Source organism: Homo sapiens, chromosome 16, assembly GCF_000001405.40.
Source record: "Homo sapiens chromosome 16, GRCh38.p14 Primary Assembly".
NCBI classification, from domain to species: Eukaryota; Metazoa; Chordata; class Mammalia; order Primates; family Hominidae; genus Homo; species Homo sapiens.
This window is the reverse complement of record NC_000016.10, coordinates 29,618,650-29,638,584: the sequence shown is the minus strand read 5'-3', so window position 1 is coordinate 29,638,584 and position 19,935 is coordinate 29,618,650. Positions and strand designations below refer to the sequence as shown.

The following is a 19,935-nucleotide window of genomic DNA, read 5'->3' as shown; positions in this document are numbered from 1 at the left end:
CTGCCTCAGCCTCCCGAGTAGCTGGGATTATAGGCGCCCACCAACACACCTGGCTAATTTTTTGTATTTTTAGTAAAGACGAGGTTTTAGCATGTTGGCCAGGCTGGTTTCGAACACCTGACCTCAAGTGATACACCTGCCTTGGCCTCCCAAAGTGTTAGGATTACAGGCGTGAGCCACTGTGCCTGGCCTAACAAAGTGATTTAATGTGCTTATTGTGTGAAGCACTCTTTCTGTGTATTTTTAAAAATTGAGATGTAATTCATCTGTGTATATTTAAGGAGACTAGAAGACTTGCTCATAATGGTAGAATTTTAAAACTAGATATGACTCCGAGGTTGCTCCAGACCAACACTGAGATTTTGAGTGAAGAGGGGCAGTGAGCAGCTCTGTGGCTTGGTCCAGCACTTGCCTAGCCCCTGACTGGACCAAAGCCAAATCCATTTTCCATTTTCCAGTTTACACCTTGGTGCCTCCAACTATGAGTACTTTTTTTTTTTTTTTTTTTTTTGAGACTGAGTCTCACTCTGTCGCCCAGGCTGGAGTGCAGTGGCACGTTCTCAGCTCACTGCAACCTCCACCTCCCAGGTTCAAGCAATTCTCCTGCCTCAGCCTCCTGAGTAGCTGGGATTACAGGCGCCCGCCACCACACCCAGCTAATTTTTGTATTTTTAGTAGAGATGGGTTTCACCACCTTGGCCAGGCTGGTCTCTAACTCCTGACCTCAAGTGATCCGCCCATCTCGGCCTCCCAAAGTGCTAGGACTACAGGTGTGAGCCACCACGCCCAGCCCAAGTACTTTTGGTGTCAGGAAACCACCAGGAGTCAGCACTGTCAAGCTCCCCAAGGCATTTGTCATGCGCTCAGTGTTTTCCTGGCTTTTGCCACAGTGGGAGGTGACATGAGCAAGGCGGGTGACACGAGGCTCCTCCACAGCTACGGGAGGCACTCGGGCCACCGCGAATTCGTGATCAGTGCTCCAGTTCTGCTGGCGCCTTCCAGCCTTGCCCAGCCATCCCAGGAGCACACTGTGCTCCTTTCAATGAAAACGTGTGGAATAGGTACCACATTTGTAGCAGCTGTTGATGGAAATCTGTTAGTGACAAAGTGCTTAGACACAGGAGAAGCCACCCACATCAGAACCCCTGGGGAGCTCGTTAAAAGGCAGACTCCCAGCACTACCTGGACCTGGGGATGGCAGCCATGACTCTGTGAGGCAGAGCCAGAGGCCTCAGTGAGCGATGCTTATGGCTGAGCCCCACGTGTCAGGAGAAGGAAGCTCCTGGGAGGCTGCACCTGGCACTGTGCCATGGAGAGGGGCACCCCAAGGCCTGCAGGTGGAGAGCGCTGACTCCAAGGTGAGTGTTTAGGGTGACTTAGGACGGAAGGAGTGTTCCAATAAAAGCTGGCCCTGTGGTGGGCCTAGATTAAGCAGGGACTGCCAGAGATCAGGACTGATGCTATAGCTCAGGGTCTGCTTATTTAAAAACCTTGCTCACCCAGGAGCGGTGGCTCACACCTGTCATCCCAGCACTTTGGGAGGCAGAGGCGAGTGGATCACCTGAGATCAGGAGTTTGAGACCAGCCTGGCCAACATGGTGAAACCCCGTCTCTACTTAAAATACAAAAATTGGCTTGGCCTGGTGGCACATGCCTGTAATCCCAGCTACTCAGGAGGCTGGGGCAGGAGAATCACTAGAACCCAGAGGTGGAGGTTGCAGTGAGCTGAGATCATGCCATTGTACTCCAGCCTGGGCAATAGAGTAAGATTCTGTCTTAAAACAAAACAAAACAAAACAAAACAAAACAAAAACTTTGCTCATTGTGTTATTTTATAATGTTATTTGGTGATAGGATTTAAGCTGCTTTTAAAAAATATTTGGAAGACATCTTTTTTTTTTAAATTAAAGTCTGGAAATCTTATAGGACAGGCAGGCATCTCAGAAACTTTCTTTACCGATTTCTGCCTGCAGGGAGATGAGGCCCTCACCACCACCCAGTGGCAGCACTGGGACCCTGCCTTCATTCCACATTTACTGTGAACCTCTGGGCAGGCGCTGGGCTGGCGGGGGGCAGAGTGAATGGGACAGACAGAGCCCACCTTTCACGGAGCCCACCTTTGGCTTGTCACTTCAACCATACAGCAACCCCTTGCGAGTGAACTCATATAACCCTAATGTAGACAATGCCTCAGGTAACACCACAGCTCAACAAACAGACAAAATGACACACACGTCTCGCTGCCTTTATTTCCAGGAATTAGTGGCGGGCCCTTGGAAAACCACTACAGACTGAAGCAATTTCACTTCCACTGGGGAGCAGTGAACGAGGGGGGCTCAGAGCACACAGTGGACGGCCACGTGTACCCCGCAGAGGTTTGTAGACGTGGCCTAACAGCACATATCTGGACGCTTTCCATGTCTCCGGCTCTATGGTGGGGGGTGAACAAGCCATGCCTGCCGCTCAGATGTGAAGGATTTCCTGGGGCCTGGGACTGTCAGTGCTCAAACCAGAACCGTCGGCCGCCCCACCCGTTTGGTCACACCCCCCTCCTACGAAGAAGACACTGTAAGTTCTCTCATTTAACGGAAGAAGAGACTGAGGTTCTGAATGGTTACGGAACTTGCCAAAGCCAGACAGCTGGGATTCAAAGTCAGAGCTTGAGCTCTTTGCCACGCTTCACTCAGCTGTGTGCTTGCAGCTGTAGGGACTAGCAAATCCACAAGGCCCTCCGCTGAGAAGCTGAACATCTTTGCAATAGAGATCATCTTCTTTTGTTTGTTTGTTTTTTGTTTTTTTGAAACAGGGTTCACTCTGTCACCCAGACTGGAGTGCATTGGTGCAATCTTGGCTCACCACAACCTCCATCTCCCAGGCTCAAGCGATTCTCCTGCCTCAGCCTTCCGAGTAGCTGGGATTACAGGTGCGTGCCACCAGGCCCTGCTAATTTTTGTATTTTTAGTAGAGATGTGGTTTCGCCATGTTGGCCAGGCTGGTCTCAAACTCCTGACCTCAAGTGATCCACCCACCTCAGCTTCCCAAAATGCTAGGATAACAGGCGTGAGCCACTGCACCCGGCCAAGATCATCTTCTTAAAGCAGTCTTATTTTCAACATTCCAAAGTGGGAGTCAGTAGAGAAAATGAGTGCAGATCAATGCTGGGAATTGGTTTTTGTAGTTTTTTTGGGTGATAAGTGATGCCTTATAGATTTCCCCAAATATTTTATTATGAAATTTTTGCAACATACGAAAAAATGAAAAGAAATGAACAAGAAGAATCTATGAGTTTGACGTCTCAGTCCTGTGATGATCATTTTTGCCATATTCACTTTATCACACCTCTGCTCACCCACTCACCTGACTTCTTGATGCTTTTTCAAGTTGAGGACTCTTTCTGTTTTTTGAACTTGTTGTTGTTATGAAAGTAATGCTGCAGTTAATGTGGAACTAGAGTGCACCCAAACCAAAAAATGAAAATTGCTTGTAATCGCACACCCAGAGGTGACCTCCGGACATTTTATAAATAGGGAGTGATATCTATTGTCATCATCATACAGATATTTATAAATAGTTCCAAGAATGAGCGCAACAATGGCTTCTGTGTGCTTCCTTTCATTTAACAACATGCCTTTTATTTTAGTATCTCTATCTGCAACTTTATTTTTGATGAACAGATATTTTATTTATTTATTTATTTTTGAGACTGAGTATCACTCTGTTCCCCAGGCTGGAGTGCAGTGGCGCGATCGCACGATCTCGCAATCTTGGCTCACTGCAACCTCTGCTGCCCAGGTTCAAGTGATTCTCCTGCCTCAGCCTCCTGAGTAGCTGGGATTACAGGCACCTGCCACCGCGCCCAGCTAATTTTTGTAGTTTTAGTAGAGACGGGGTTTCACCGTCTTGGCCAGGCTGGTCTTGAACTCCTGTCCTCGTGATCCACTCGCCTCGGCCTCCCAGAGTGCTGGGATTACAGGCGTGAGCCACCACGCCCAGCCGAGGCGTGAGTTTTTTCTGGTAATCCTTGTCCAAGGATAACTAGGAAGTAGAAAATAATGAAACCACCCATTTCTATTGGATGAGGTTAACATGATCCTCTCCTTTTTCCCACCACCAGGAAGACTGAGGCTCTTCCTTCCCATGGCTTCATCAAGTGCCTGGGAGCTCAGAGGTGCTGCTAGTGCTGGGATCTTACACATCTGGCTGCAACAACTTAGTTCTTTTTTTTTTTTTTTTTTTTTTTTTGAGACGGAGTCGCGCTCTGTCACCCAGGCTGGAGTGCAGAGGCACAATCTCAGCTCACTGCAAGCTTTACCTCCTGGGTTCAGGCAATTCTCCTGCCTCAGCCTCCTGAGTAGCTGGGACTACAGGCGCCCGCCACCATGCTCGGCTAATTTTTTTTTTTTGCATTTTTAGTAGAGACGGGGTTTCACCATGTTAGCCAGGATGGTCTTGATCTCCTGACCTCATGATCCACCCGCCTCAGCCTCCCAAGGTGCTGGGATTACAGGTGTGAGCCACTGCGCCTGGCCATTTCATTATGATTAAGTGGACACATAGGTCAGCCATTCAGAAGGGGAAGTGACTGTCTTATTTCTTGCTGATCAATTTAAGTTCTCTTTCCATTGTGTTTCAGCTGCATTTAGTTCACTGGAATTCTGTGAAATACCAAAATTACAAGGAAGCTGTCGTGGGAGAGAATGGTTTCTGTGATAGGCGTGTTTTTAAAGGTAATCGCTTGCTGGGGTGTAGATCTAATGAAGAAAGTGGTGATCCATCATTAGGATTGCTTTTTTTTTTTTTTGAGACAGGACTCGCTGTGTCACACAGGCTGGAGTGCAGTGGCACGGTCTCGGCTCATTGCAACCTCCACCTCCTGGGTTCAAGTGATTCTCCTGCCTCAGCCTTCCCAGTAGCTGGGACTATAGGAGTGTGTCACCACACCCAGCTAATTTTTGTATTTTTAGTAGAGACAGGGTTTCACCATATTGGCCAGGCTGGTTTCAAACTCCTGACCTTAGATATCTGCCCACCTCGGCCTCCCAAAGTGCTGGGATCACAGGCGTGAGCCACCGTGCCTGGCCTAGGATTGCTTTTAAAACGTGGTGTATTTATAGTGGAGTGAGCTTCCCCCCGCCACCCACTGCCTTTTCAGCTAACCCCTTGTGTGTCTGCCACGCAGCTCGGGGCCCATCATCAGATGCTGCAGAGGCTGGTGGACGTCTTGCTGGAAGTAAAACATAAGGTAAGCTGCATATTTGAAATCAGCAGGCCGGGCGCGGAGGCTCACGCCTGTGATCCCAGTACTTTGGGAGGCTGAGGCAGTGGATCACCTGAGGTCGGGAGTTCGAGACCAGCCTGACCAACATGGAGAAATCCCGCCTCCACTAAAAATACAAAATTAGCAGGGTGTCATGGCACATGCCTGCAATCCCAGCTACTCGGGAGGCTGAGGCAGGAGAATCGTTTGAACCCAGAGGTGGAGGTTGCAGTGAGCTGAGATCGCGCTGTTGCACTCCAGCCTGGGTGACAAGAGTGAAATCCTATCTCAAAAAAAAAAAAAAAAAAAGAAAAGAAATCAGCATAATTTGACAAGCAAAATTGTTTAGTGCAGCGATTCATTTGCAAGGAAAAAGAAATCTCATAGTGGAAAGAGCCCCGCCGAGGCGCTGTGATTCCAGTTCTGGAAACAGGATTCCGCAGGGTTGATGCTCGTGTGTCCACAGCTAGCTCTTCCTGACTTCGAATGCGTCACCACTGCTCTGGGACCCTGTTTCCTCCTCCATAAAATAAGGGTGTTGGGCTCAATGGAAGTTCCCAAAATTCAGTCGTGCAGGCAAGATCCTGAAGACTTTGACATATCTGCCTGCCAATGGGACAACTTTCTACTGAATATTTTTCTTTTCTTTTTTATTTTTTCGAGGAGTCTCCCTCTGTCACTCAGGCTGGAATGCAGTGGCGTGATCTCGGCTCACTGCAACCTCCGCCTCCCGGGTTCAAGCAATTCTCTTGCCTCAGCCTCCCATGCAGTTGGGACGATAGGTGTGCGCCACCACACCCAGCTAATTTTGTATTTTTAGTAGAGACGGGGTTTCACCATGTTGGCCAGGCTGGTCTCAAACTGCGGACTTCAGGTGATCCGCCCGCCTTGGCCTCCCAAGGTGCTGGGATTACAGGCGTGAATCACCGCGCCCAGCCTACTTAATATTTTTCTTTAAATTGATTAGCTCGAAAAATTTTTAGCCTTGTCCTGGGTGATGATATTCACTAATGATAAAGTTTGTTTGAAAACAGATTGAAACAAAAACCTCAAATCCCTAACTAATAACATTTAAGAATGTTGACTCATGTACCACCCAGCATCTCCTTGAACGTCCCTGTCCGACCCCAAGCCCAAGGGCAGAGAGAAACCTGCCCAAACCGCGGCTCTCCGGCCCAGCTCTCCACACGCTTCCCTGCATCCAGCGCCCAGCTCTCCATACGCTTCCCTGCATCCAGCACAGCTCGAAAAGATGGCGGGGACAAGAGTGTCGCCTTTCTCCAAGATCAGCTGAGAAAAGGCTTTGAGGGAGAAGGAGAAATTCCAAAGAAATGTAGTTTATTTATTCAGCAGCAAACAAAAGAATTCCAGGGCAGAAGGAGTCAACGCAAGCCTCAGATGTGCGGACGGATGAGGCTTCAACCTGTGTTAACAATGGTGCGGGCTGGTCCAGATGGAGCTGGGGCGAGCCCTTCCTCGCGGTTCAAGGAGCCGTTTGATCTGTACGTGGCCTTCGCCTTGATGCTGGCTTCGGGGCGGCCTCCTGGGGCTGGGACCAGATCACCCCCCGCCGCCCCATTTGCCTGCTCAGAAACTTCACAAGGCCACGGTTCTGAGAGCTCTGACGCCCCATCCTCTTCCTCCGCGCGGCTCCACAGCCAGAGGAAACCTGGGGAGGGGTTGTTTTCCCAGCCAGCCTCCACCTCCCACACCAGGTGGTCCCACCTCTTGGTGGGAAAGAAAAGAGCTGGCTGTGAAGGACCCTTTACCCAAGGGCTGTTTTCCTCCTGGGGAAGGTTCTGGAGCATTTCTTCCCCATGGGGTAAGTCAAAATTTTCTAGGCAAACCACAGGGGAGGAATGATGCCCGGGACAGGGGAGGAAGTGCACCGCGGACTGAGCTCTGGTCCTGATGCTGATCTCTGGGCTCATCCCCTCAGCTGAAAATAAAGAGCTAGACTCTTTTTTTTTTTTTTTTTTTTTTTGAGATAGAATCTTGCTATGTTGCCCAGGCTGGAGTGCAATGGCGCGACCTCGGCTCACTGCAACCTCCGCCTTCCAGGTTCAACTGATTCTCCTGCCTCAACCTCCTGAGTAGCTGGAAGTACCGGCGCCCACCACCATGCCTGGCTAATTTTTGTATTTTTAGTAGAGACAGGGTTTCACCATGTTGGCCAGGCTGATCTCAAACTCCTGACCTCAAGTGATCCGCCTACCTTGGCCTCCCAAATTGCTGGGATTACAGGCGTGAACCACCGCGCCTGGCCGAGTTAGACCTTTGAGAAATTAAAAGACCTTAAGAGGCTGAGTGCGGTGGCTCAAGCCTGTAATCCTAACACTTTGGGAGGCCAAAGCAGGCAGACCACCTTAGGTCAGGAGTTCAAGACCAGCCTGGCCAACATGGTGAAAGCCTATCTCTACTAAAACTACAAAAATTAGCCAGGCATGGTGGCGGGTGCCTGTAATCCCAGCTACTCGGGAGGCTGAGGCAGGAGAATTGCTTGAATCTGGGAGATGGAGGTTGCAGTGAGCTGAGATTGTGCCACTGCACTCCAGGCTGAGTGACACAGCGAGACTCATTTCAAAAAAAAAAAAAAAAAAAAAGACCTTAGGAGGTAAAAGACCCAGCCTTCGGGGCAAGAGTCTATGCTTCATGGGTCAGGGAATGGGAAGAGACTTGAACAACCCTCTCGCCTAGAGGCTCCTAGCCTAGGACTTCTGGGAGCTTCTCCCATAGCACAGTGTATCAGAGAGCCCCACAGTTGGACTCCTGGGTCCAGAGCCCTGATCCACCACTCCTGAGCTGCGCACCTCTGAGCCTCAGCTTCCTCACCTGTGAAATGGAGATGTTAAACATCCACAGTAGCCCGGGCGCGGTGGCTCACACCTGTAATCCCAGCACTTAGGGAGGCCGAGGTGGGTAGATCACCTGAGGTCAGGAGTTCAAGACCAGCCTGGCCAACATGGCAAAACCCCATCTCTACTAAAAATACAAAAATTAGCTGGGTGTGGTGGCACACTCCTGTAATCCCAGCTACTCAGGAGGCTGAGGCAGGAGAATCGCTTGAACCCAGGAGATGGAGGTTGCAGTGAGCCGAGATCATGCCACTGCACTCCAGTCTGGGTGACAGCTCGAGAATCCGTCTCCAAAAAAAAAAAAAAATCCACACTAGAGCAGCATTCTCACCATGTAATGGAATAAGGAGCATGTCTGGTTCTTGGTGAAATGTGCAGTTGAGTTTAAGGCCCAGCTGTGGCCAACACTCACACACACACGTCTGCTGTGGAATGCACAGGCTGCTGCTGCCTGTCACGAAACGAAAATCCACCAGCCCAATCACTAAGGTTAAAGTCGCTTTTTGTTGCTGCGGGTGCTTTCAGTCAGCTGATTCCCAGAGAGAGCTATTACCTTTTGGGAGTCCATGAAACTTTAGAATGATGGCCTTCTGATGGAAAATGCTAGAAGTGTGGTTGAATCTAACTCCTGATTGGTGGGCAGTGCAGGGCAGGACGGGGCCGTGGTGGCCTCAGGCTCAAGGGCAGATGGCCTTGGCTTCAAATCCCAGCTCTGCCTCTCACCCCCGCGGACTCAGCAGTCCTCACCCAGGGATGGGCTCACCTGCAGCTTCTGGGCTGTTTTCCTGGTTTCCTCCAGTTAAGGAACAAGCTGTCCTGAACTAGGGCAGGAAAGACCAGAGTCACGTAGTCCCCATCATCTCTCCTAGTTCCAGGCTGGTCCGGGCCCTGCTGTGGGACTGACTCGGCAGAGACCCTCCAGGAATGCCTGCCACGGTCATTCCCTGGGGACCCAGCTGGCTTCTATGCAGTGCTCAGGGCTCCAAGGGTGCATTTCCAGAAAGAGCCAGACGGACACGATGTCTTTTCTGCCCTGGCTTCCAGAGTCACAAAGCACTGCTCCTGCGGCATCCTGTTCACCACTCCCGCCAGGAGCACCTGCCCAGGCTCAGGGCAAGGGGACATCGCCCCACACCTCGGTGGGAAGGGTTCAAAGAAGCGACAGCCCTCCATATAAATTATCACACTGAATCTTCCAATCACTCCACGGGGCAGGGCCTGTGATTCATCTGTCTTGCACACACAGGGAAACCAAAGCTCAGAGAGGCAGAGAAGGCCTTGCCCGGGCACACAGGTGGCAGGTGAAGAGCCCGTTTTTAAACCCAGGAAGTGGGTCCATGCAGCCTGAACTCCCAGTCGTCCCAGCGCCCACCTCCCACATGCAGTCAGAACCCAGGCTGAGCTCCAGGCCCTGCTGCACATTTCTGAGCTTTTCAGCAGCTTAGAGGGAAACACAGGCAGTGTCTATAACCAAAACCACATTAGGCGCCGCCTGGAAGCCCGGACCCCCACCCCCACCCCCAGCGCCGTCCCATCTGCACAGGCCCCTACCAGTGCCGACCTGTCACTATGCACTCAGCTCCCAGCACGCAGGCCCAGCCCCAGTGTGGCCCCGGTGACCCTGGGCAGACACTCCCAGAATGGAGACCTCGAGGCTTCGCCTTTGACCCTCTCACCATAGCCAGAAGTTTTGGCAAAAACTGCCCACAGAGGGTCCCCACCCTCCATGCCTGGACAAGCTGCAAGCTCCTCAGGCTGCTGGGGTCCCCCCTCCTCCCTGCCTTCGCAAGAGTCAGGGCTACCGGGGAATTGGCTGCCTTGTGGAGTTGGAAACAGCCCACCAGGTCCAGGGGATCCAGGGAATGGCTCTATGCCCTGTGGGGGCTCTTCTAGCTTTGGCAGCAGCAGCGGCAGCACCTACCGAGCCCCACGCCCATGTGGCAGGCACTGATGGAAGCCCATTACAGCCACCACACTGCCTGTCGTACACCTGGGGAAACTGAGACTCTAAGAGGACAAACCAAGGGCGGAGTTAGGCTGGGTGAGGCTTGACGCTCATAAAATGCGGGGTCCTGTTTAAGAGAAAGAAGACAAAACCAGGAACAGAGCGGTGGCTCACGCCTATAATCCCAGCACTGTGGGAGGCTGAGGCGGGTGGATCACCTGAGGTCAGGAGTTTGAGATGAGCCTGACCAACATAGAGAAACCCCATCTCTATTAAAAATACAAAATTAGCCAGGCGTGATGGTGCATGCGTGTAATCCCAGCTGCTAGGGAGGCTAAGGCAGGAGAATCGCTTGAACCCGGGAGGTGGAGGTTGTGGTGAGCCGAGATCGTGCCATTGCACTCCAGCCTGGGCAACAAGAGCGAAACTCCGTCTCAAAATAAATAAATAAATAAGAGAAAAGTGGAACAAGTCACCAACCCACTTCCGCCAGCAAAGGCTTGTGGTGCTTTCCACAGGTAGCTGGGCCATCCGTGCTCAGATAATGGATGTGATGGTCTTCAGCCTCATTGGTGTGCTCACCGGTGTCCCATTCTAGCTGCCTGGGGCTCACCACACGCATAAAGGAAGGGCCCTGACTTCCTTTGGGGGCCCTGAGGGGGAGCAGCTTTCTGTAACCACATGGCTGCTCCAGCTCTCATGCATCTTAGAGACAGGACAGGAACTCCTGGGGACGATGAGGCAACACACAGGCATCCTCTTCTCAGCCCAAGGCTGGAAAGCTTAATTGGCAGGAAACCTGCACGCAGTGGAATGGCTGGGGCCTGCCACTCCCCCGACTGATTCCTGCAGTCCTGGGGAGGGAGAGAAGAGCCCGCACCTTGGAAAGGGCCAGGCCTCAGTGGCCCTGACTGGCAACATGGCTTTGGGCAAGTTGTTTATATCTGTCTGTCTATCTTCATCAGTAAACTAGAAATACTTCTTGAAGGGTTGTTCTGAAGATTTGAAGTAGTTGCTCAGAAAGTGACTGGCACATCTGTGCCCTGGGAGCGGGGACGTGTGGCCGGCAGGAGGAGAGGACATCTCACTGCACACCTGCCTGTTACCCATGTGCATAGACGGACGTCTCACTGCACACCCGCCTGTTACCCATGTGCACAGACCGACGTCTCACTGCACACCGACCTGTTACCCATGTGCATAGACCGACATCTCACTGCACACCCGCCTGTTACCCACGTGCACCAGACTGACGCCTCACTGCACACCCACCTGTTACCCACGTGTACAGACTGACGCCTCACTGCACACCCACTTGTTACCCATGTGCACCAGACTGACGCCTCACTGCACACCTGCCTGTTACCCATGTGCACCAGACTGACATCTCACTGCACACCCGCCTGTTACCCATGTGCATAGACTAACACCTCACGGTGCACCCACCTGTTACCCATGTGCACAGACTGACGTCTCACTGTACATCCGTTACCCATGTGCACAAGCAGCCTGCTCCTTCACAGCCCAGCTAGAGTGTGCAATGGGATGTCAACCCAGCTAGACCATGCAATGAGATATTACTTGGCAATCAGAAAGGACACAGCTCTAACTCACGCTGCGGTGTGGGTGAGCCTCAAAAGCACCATACTAAGTGACAGACGCAAGACACAAATGTTCCACATGTTACATGACTCAGTTCCTATGAAACCCACAGAGACAGAAGCAGCACGGCGGGGGTGGGGAGAAGAGCTAAAAAGTACCAAGCTTCCTCCTTGAGGTGCTGAAAATGTTCTAAAATTGACTTGGGATGGCTGCACAACTGTGAATATACCCAAAACCATAGAATTGTACACTTCAATTTTTTATTTACTTTTTCTGTTTTTTTTTTTTTTTTTGAGATGGAGTTTCACTCTTGTTGCCCAGGCTGGAGTGCAATGGCATGATCTCAGCTCACTGCAACCTCTGCCTCCCAGGTTCAAGCGATTCTCCTGCCTCAGCCTCCCGAGTAGCTGGGATTACAGGCATGCACCACCACGCCTGGCTAATTTTGTATTTTTAGTAGAGACGCGGTTTCGCCATGTTGGTCAGGCTGGTCTCGAACTCCCGACCTCAGGTGATCCACCCGCCTTGGCCTCCCAAAGTGCTGGGATTACAGGCATGAGCCACTGTGCCCGGCCTATTTACTTATTTTAAGAAAGGATCTCACTCTGTCACCCAGGCTAGAGTGCAGTGGTATGATCACAGCTCACTGCAGCCTCAACCTCCGGGGCTCAAGCCATCCTCCCACCTCAGCCTCCCAACTACCTGGGACCACAGGCATGTACCACTGCACCTGGCTAGTTTTTGTATTTTTTGTAGAGTCAGATTCTTGTTATGTTGCTTAGGCTGGTCTCAAACTCCTGGCCTCAAGCAGTCCTCCCACATCGGCCTCCCAAAGTGCTGGGATTACAGGCATGATCCATCGCGCCCAACCAGGTTGTACACTTTAGATGGGAGAGTTGCATGGTATGTGAATTCTATCACAATAATGCTGTGGGTTTTGTTGCTGTTGTTGTTGTTTGAGACCGAGTCTCTTTCTGTTGCCCAGACTGGAGTGCAATGGTGCAATCTTGGCTCACTGCAACCTCTGCCTCCTGTGCTAAAGCAATTCTTGTGTCTCAGTCTCCCGAGTAGCTGGGATGACAAGCACCTGCCACCATGCCTGGCTAATTTTTGTATTTTTAGTAGAGACGGGGGTTCGCCATGTTGGTCAGGCTGGTCTTGAACTCCTGACTTCAGGTGATCTGCCTGCCTTGGCCTCCCAAAGTGCTGCGATTACAGGCATGAGCCACTTCGCCCAGCCTATAATGCTGTTTTTTTTTTTTAATTAACTGGATAATTATAAACGTGAACACGTGTGCACAGAACTGATGCATGTGTCTGCCGGCGTGGACACTCCTGGGCTTCCTTCTGGTAGCTCAGCCACCTCTCTTGACCCTGACCCTCACTGCTTGATGTTAGGAGACAAGCCCAAGGCATCTAGGTTGCCGGCTTCCACCTTGGAAGGCCAGGGCCCAGCAAAGTCAAGGTGATGTGATGTGGCTGAGCAGGGAGGCCATCTTCCTTGCAGACAGGGACTCTGTCACTTTGGACTGGACTCTTGTCCCACAGTGCTGGCCAGGGACAGGTGCAGAGTTGTGCTTGGTTGGCATGGGATGCTGATGAAGGCTGTGTTGCGGCCAGGCCCAACCACCATGAGCCGAGATCATGCCACGGCACTCCAGCCTGGAAGACAGAGTGAGACTCTGCCTCAAAAAAATAAAAAAAATAAAAAGTTATAAATAGAACTACCCTATGATTCAGCAATCACACACTTCTGGGTATATATCCAAAAGAGCTGGCTGGGCACAGTGGCTTATGCCTGTAATCCCAATATTTTGAGAGGCCAAGGCAGGAGGATCACTGGAGCCCAGGAGTTGGAGAACAGCTTGGGCAAGATGGCAAGACCCCTTGGCTACAAACAATTAATTTTAAACCCTGGTATGGTGTCCTAGCTACTTGGGAGACTGACGCGGGGGGATCGCTTGAGCCCAGGAATTAGAGACTGCAGTGAGCTATGATGGCATCATTGCACTCCTGCCTAGTTGACAAAGTAAGACCCTGACTCTTTTTTTTTGTTTTTTGGCTGTGAGTGTATTCAATGCAAAATAATCCTCTCTAATTTTACTGAGGTGGCTGGCCATGTCCACGACCAAATCTGCCTCTAAACTGGAATTCGGTTGCTGACCCAGCCCGAGCCTTGGCTTTCTTGTCGGCACCAGGGGCACAGCACTCCGTCTATAGGTATGTCTGTTGGCTTCCCCTCTTGTGAGTCTTGCAGGTCGCCCACCCTCCAGACCTTTAGGCCGAGGCCTGCCAGTCCCTGGACGGCTGCAGCGTAGGGTGGCAGGCACAGTTTCCAGGGACAGATGAAGGTAATCACGGAGATACTGGATACCCTGATCGGTAAGGTAGCAGTAGAAATGTCTCCAGGCAAGCCAGGCACGGTGGCTCATGCCTGTAATCCTAACATTTTGGGAGGCCGAGGTGGGCGGATCACGAGGTCAGGAGATTGAGACCATCCTGTCTAACATGGTGAAACCCCGTCTCTACTAAAAATACAAAAAATTGGCCGAGCGTGGTGGCGGGTGCCTATAGTCCCAGCTACTGGGGAGGCTGAGGCAGGAGAATGGCATGAACCCAGGAGTTCAAGCTGGTCTTGAACTCCAGGAGGCGGAGCTTGCAGTGAGCCGAGATCACACCACTGCACTCCAGCCTGGGTGACACAGCGAGACTCCGTCTCAGAAAAAAAAAAAAAAAAAAAAAGCAACAATGCAGGGACTCCTGACACATGCTCCAATGTGGATAAACCTGAAGGACATTATGCCCAGTGAAATAAGCCAGACACAAAAGACAAAAACCACAGGATCCCACCCACATCAGGTCCCCAGAGTCCTCAGATTCAGAGAGATGGAAGCAGAATGGTGGGTGCCAGGCCTGGGGGAGGAAGCTGGACATAGTGTTTAGTGGGGTCAGGACAGAATTTGAGTTTGGGATGATGGAAAAGTTCTGGAGACGGATGGTGGAGATGGTTGCACCACAATGTGACTGCATTTAACGCCATGAAACTTTACACTTAAAAATTGTTAAGATGGGCTGGGCATGGTGGCTCATGCCTCTCATCCCAGCACTGTGGGAGGCTGAGGCAGGTGAATCACCTGAGATTGGGAGTTCAAAACCAGCCTGACCAACATGAAGAAACCCCGTCTCTACTAAAAATACAAAATCAGCAGGTGTGGTGGCGGGTGCCTGTAATCCCAGCTACTCAGGAGGTTGAGGCAGGAGAATCACTTGAGCCTGGGAGGCGAAGGGTTGCAGTGAGCCAAGATCGCACCATTGCACCCCAGCCTGGGCAACAAGAGCAAAACTGCATCTCAAAAAAAAAAAAAAAGGTTAAGATGGTAAATTTTATGTTATGTATATTTTATCACAATAAAAAGTAATATTTTTTGCAGCCAAGGTATGCTAAAAGAAATGGCGTTTTTATTATTTATTAATTATTATTATTATTATTATTATTTGAGACAGAGTCTCACTCTGTTGCCCAGGCTGGAGTGCAGTGGCGTGATCTCAGCTCACTGCAACCTCTGCCTCCTGGGCTCAAGAAATTCTCTTGCCTCAGCCTCCTGAGTAGCTGGGACTACAGGCGCCCACCACCACATCTGGATAATTTTTGTATTTTTAGTAGAGACAGGGTTTCATCATGTTGACCAGGCTGGTCTCGAACTCCTGACCTCAAGTGATCCACCCGCCTCGGCCTCCCAAAGTGCTGAGATTACAGGGGTGAGCTACTGCGCCCCAAGAAATGACTTCAAAAGGAAAAATGTAAGCACCAACATAAGCTGGTGTAATGTAATGTAATTCCCACCAATGTAAGTTGGCAGGAATCCTTGCTCTGTATAGAAGGGTCACATTTTCTTATCACTGCTTCCAAGTGTGACAGCAGTGGCCTCATGGCCTTATCTCGGGGAAAGCACTTCCTTCCAAGCACCATGAAGGCCTCCCGTGCTGAGACAAGATGGAAGCTCCTAGTCCCGCCTGAGGACTGACACGGCCTTGGCTTCTCGGTCTCTCAGGACGCGCGGGCGGCCATGCGCCCCTTCGACCCCTCCGCTCTGCTGCCCACCTGCTGGGATTACTGGACCTATGTGGGCTCGCTCACCACCCCGCCGCTGACCGAGTCGGTCACCTGGATCATCCAGAAGGAGCCCGTTGAAGTGGCCCCAAGCCAAGTGAGCCGTGCCCGTAACTGGCATGATGGCGCTTCATGGAAGGCGTCTCTCTTGCTTGGCAGCGTCACTAAGATGCTGCATAAGAGCCTTGAGGAGTTATATATATTCTTTCATGCATTTGGGGTGTTCTTACACAAGAAGAAAGTTCCAATTGAAGTAGGAGCTTGTTGAGATTGGACAGCGGTTCCAGTGATCACAGCGAGCATGTTCTGAGCAATGCCCTAATCTATCACACACAGACACACAAGGCATCCATGGGAGTTGTCCCAGCGTCATGGGTCTGCATGGTTTTTGTTTTCTTCCTTTTTCTTTTCTTTCTTTTTTTTTTTTTTGAGACAGAGTCTCGCTCTGTCGCCCAGGCTGCAGTGCAGTGGCTCGATCTCAGCTCACTACTACCTCCACCTCCTGGGTTCAAGCAATTCTCCTGCCTCAGCCTCTCGAGTAGCTGGGATTACAGGCACCCATCACCACGCCTGGCTAATTTTTGTATTTTTAGTAGAGACGGGATTTCACCATGTTGGCCAAGCTGGTCTTGAACTCAGGTGATCTGCCCACCTTGGCCTCCCAAAGTGCTGGGATTCCAGGCATGAGCCACCGAGCCCGGCCTCCTTTTTCTTATCTAAATAGTTTCATTGCTTTTTTTTTTCGAAAATTAGTTAATAATCCTTGTATACATTTTTAAAAGTTATACTATTGGGCTGGGCGTCATGGCTCATGCCTATAATTTTAGCACTTTAGAAGGCTGAGACAGGCAGATCACTTGAGGCCAGGAGTTCGAGACCAGCCTGACCAACATGGTGAAACCCCGTCTCTACTAAATCTACAAAATTAGCCAGGCGTGGTGGTGCACGCCTGTAATATCAGCTACTTGGGAAGCTGGGGCAAGAGAATAACTTGAAGCCGGGAGGTGGAGGCTGCAGTGAGCCGAGATCGCACCACTGCACTCCAGCCTGGACAACAAGAGCAAAACTCCATCTCAAATAAATAAATAAATAAAAATACAAAAATTAGCCGGGCATGGTGGCGTGTGCCTGTAGTGCCAGCTACTTGGGAGGCTGAGGTAGGAGAATCACTTGAACCTGGAAGGCGGAGGTTGCAGTGAGCTGAGATGGCACCACTGCACTCCAACCTGGGCGACAGAGTGAGACTGTCTCAAAAAAATAAAATAAAAAATAAATAAAAGTTATACTATCATTTTTTTCTGGAAATCTTAAGAATCTATAGCAATTCTGTCTGTCCAAGGCAGTTCAGAGCCACAGGCATGCTGCCTATGCCCCGCCCCCGCCCGGCAGACATTTCTCAGCAGTCGCAGCAGGACTTAGCATCTCTGGCTCATCTCTTTCTGAGGGCTCCAGGTGAGCTCTTAGAGGGTCTTTCAGTCTCCTGGGCCTGTGAAAATATTCCCTTATATACAAACCATGGCATGATGTCATTTGCACGTGGAGATGTGGGATGCAGAATATCTGCCTACCTCCAAACCAGAGCTGTTGGACATGGGGAAGGCTTTTGTTGAAGGTGGCCCCTTGTCAGCAAGGCCCTTATGCTACTCAACAAGCATATATGTGACAAGTGCCCATTCTGGGTCTGTGCCACCAAGAGAGGGTGGGAGGGGGGCAGGTGTGGAGGGGCGGCACAGGAACAGGGCATTCGTCTCAGAATACTGCTGTCTGGCAGGAAAGTAGAAACGAAGCCAATAGTATTAAGCCAGGGTGGCCGGTGTCATATAAAAATGCAGGGCAGGAGCCCCTTATCCTGAGCAGGGGAGCCAGGGAGGCACATGTCCTGGAAGGCGGGGAGTTTTCCAGGGGAGGAGAAAGGCTGCCTTTCTGAGACAGTCAACAAATGTGCAGACCACAAATGTGGATGAGCACACTGTGGTCATGGCCCAGGAGGCCAGGTGCACCATGCGCGCACAATTCTAGGGGGCGCTGGATCATCACGCAGGGCTAACTGGCCCAGTATGCTGTCAGCATGTAGACATAATCTCACTTCTGAATTTAATTAAATGTGTGAGTTGCCTCACAGAGTTCGTAAGTATATTCTGTGAACAAGTGAGATAATACATAAAAAGTCTTTTTTTATTTTTTATTTATTTATTTTTTTTGAGACAGAGTTTCCCTCTTGTTGCCCAGGCTGGAGTGCAATGGCGTGATCTCGCTCACCACAAGCTCCACCTCCCAGGTTAAAGCGCTTCTCCTGCCTCATCCTCCCGAGGAGCTGGATTACAAGCATGAGCCACCACATCTGGCTAATTTTGTATTTTTAGTAGGGATGGGGTTTCTCCATGTTGGCCAGGCTGGTCTCAAACTCCTGACTTCAGGTGATTCACCCACCTTGGCCTCCCAAAGTGCTGGGATTACAGGCATGAGCCACCACACCTGGCCTCCCAAAGTGCTGGGATTACAGGCATGCACAACCACACCTGGCTAATTTTGTATTTTTAGTAGAGACAGGGTTTCTCCATGTTGGCCAGGCTGGTCTCAAACTCCTGACCTCAGGTGATTCACCCACCTTGGCCTCCCAAAGTGCTGGGATTACAGGCATGAGGCACCGCATCCAGCCATAAAAAGTAGTCTTTTAGTTCCTTGAGTGAAAAGTAAATTCAAATGTTACTTTAGCATTTACATTATAGGTGTTAGTTATCTATTGCTGTGTAACAAATAGCTGCAAAACATAGTGGCTTTAGAAAACAATCATTTGGGCCGGGTGCAGTAGCTCATGCCTGTAATCCCAGCACTTTGGGGGCCGAGGCGAGTGGATCGCCTGAGGTCAGGAGTTCAAGACCAGCCTGACCAACATGGTGAAACCCTGTCTCTACTAAAAATACAAAATTAGGCTGAGCACAGTGGCTAACGCCTATAAACCCAGTACTTTGGGAGGCCGAGGCAGGTGGATAACCTGAGGTCAGGAGTTTGAGAGCAGCCTGACCAACATGGAGAAACCCCATCTCTACTAAAAATACAAAATTAGCTGGGCGTGGTGGCGCATGCCTGTAAGCCCAGCTACTCAGGAGGCTGAGGCAGGAGAATCCCTTGAACCCAGGAGGCGGAGGTTGCGGTGAGCAAAGATCACACCATTGCACTCCAGTCTGGGCAACAGGAGCAAAATTCCATCTCAAAAAAAAAAAAAAAAATTAGCCGGGCATGGTGGCTCATGCCTGTGATCCCAACTACTCGGGAGGCCGAGGCAGGAGAATTGCTTGAACCTGGGAGGCGGAGGTTGCAGCGAGCTGAGATCTTGCCAATGACACTCCAGCCTGGGAAACAAGAGGGAAACACTGTCTCAAACAACAACAACAATGACAACAAAAACCAATCATTTATTATCTCCCATAGTTTCCTTGGGTTGTGAATTTGGGTGGCTCTGGCTTACCATCTTTCATGAATTGTAGCCCAGTGTCAGCTGGGACTGTAGCGATCTGAAAGCTCAACTAGGGCTAGAGGATTCATTCCAAGGTTGGCCCTCTCAAGTGGATGGCAAGTTGGCGCTGGCAGTTGGCTGGGAGCCTCAGCTCCTCTCCCTGTGGGCCTCTCCTCGGGGCTGCTTGAGTACCCTCCCAATATGGTGACCAGCTTCCCCCCAGAGCAAGTGATCCTAAAGACCAAGGCGGAAGCGGCAATGCCTTTTATAAGCTGGCCCTGCACACACCATCACTTCCACCATCTTTACTGGTCATTTCGGGCCATCCTGATTCAGCATGGGAGGAGACCACACAAGGCCTGAGGGACACCTGGGGGCTGGCTCACCCTGCACTCATACCAAGCTCACCCTGGCTGCCCTCTATTCCAGCTCTCTGCATTTCGTACTCTCCTGTTTTCTGCACTTGGTGAAGAGAAGAAGATGACGGTGAACAACTATCGTCCACTTCAACCCCTGATGAACTGGAAGGTCTGGGCGTCCTTCCAGGCCACTAATGAGGGCACAAGATCCTAGAGACATTAGGTCCACATGAATAGCAGAACTGACTTTGAAGGAAGGAAGCGTTGTTTCCCAAGTTTCACAATGTGATTGTACGTGACTTCTGAAATTAAAAAGAGAGAATGAGGTTATTGTTTTAGTCAAAGTACG

General features: G+C 50.7%; 1 pseudogene; it reads left to right on the top strand.

Annotated features, from left to right (window-relative positions):
• Positions 2,254 to 19,916, top strand: CA5AP1 (carbonic anhydrase 5A pseudogene 1; annotated as a pseudogene).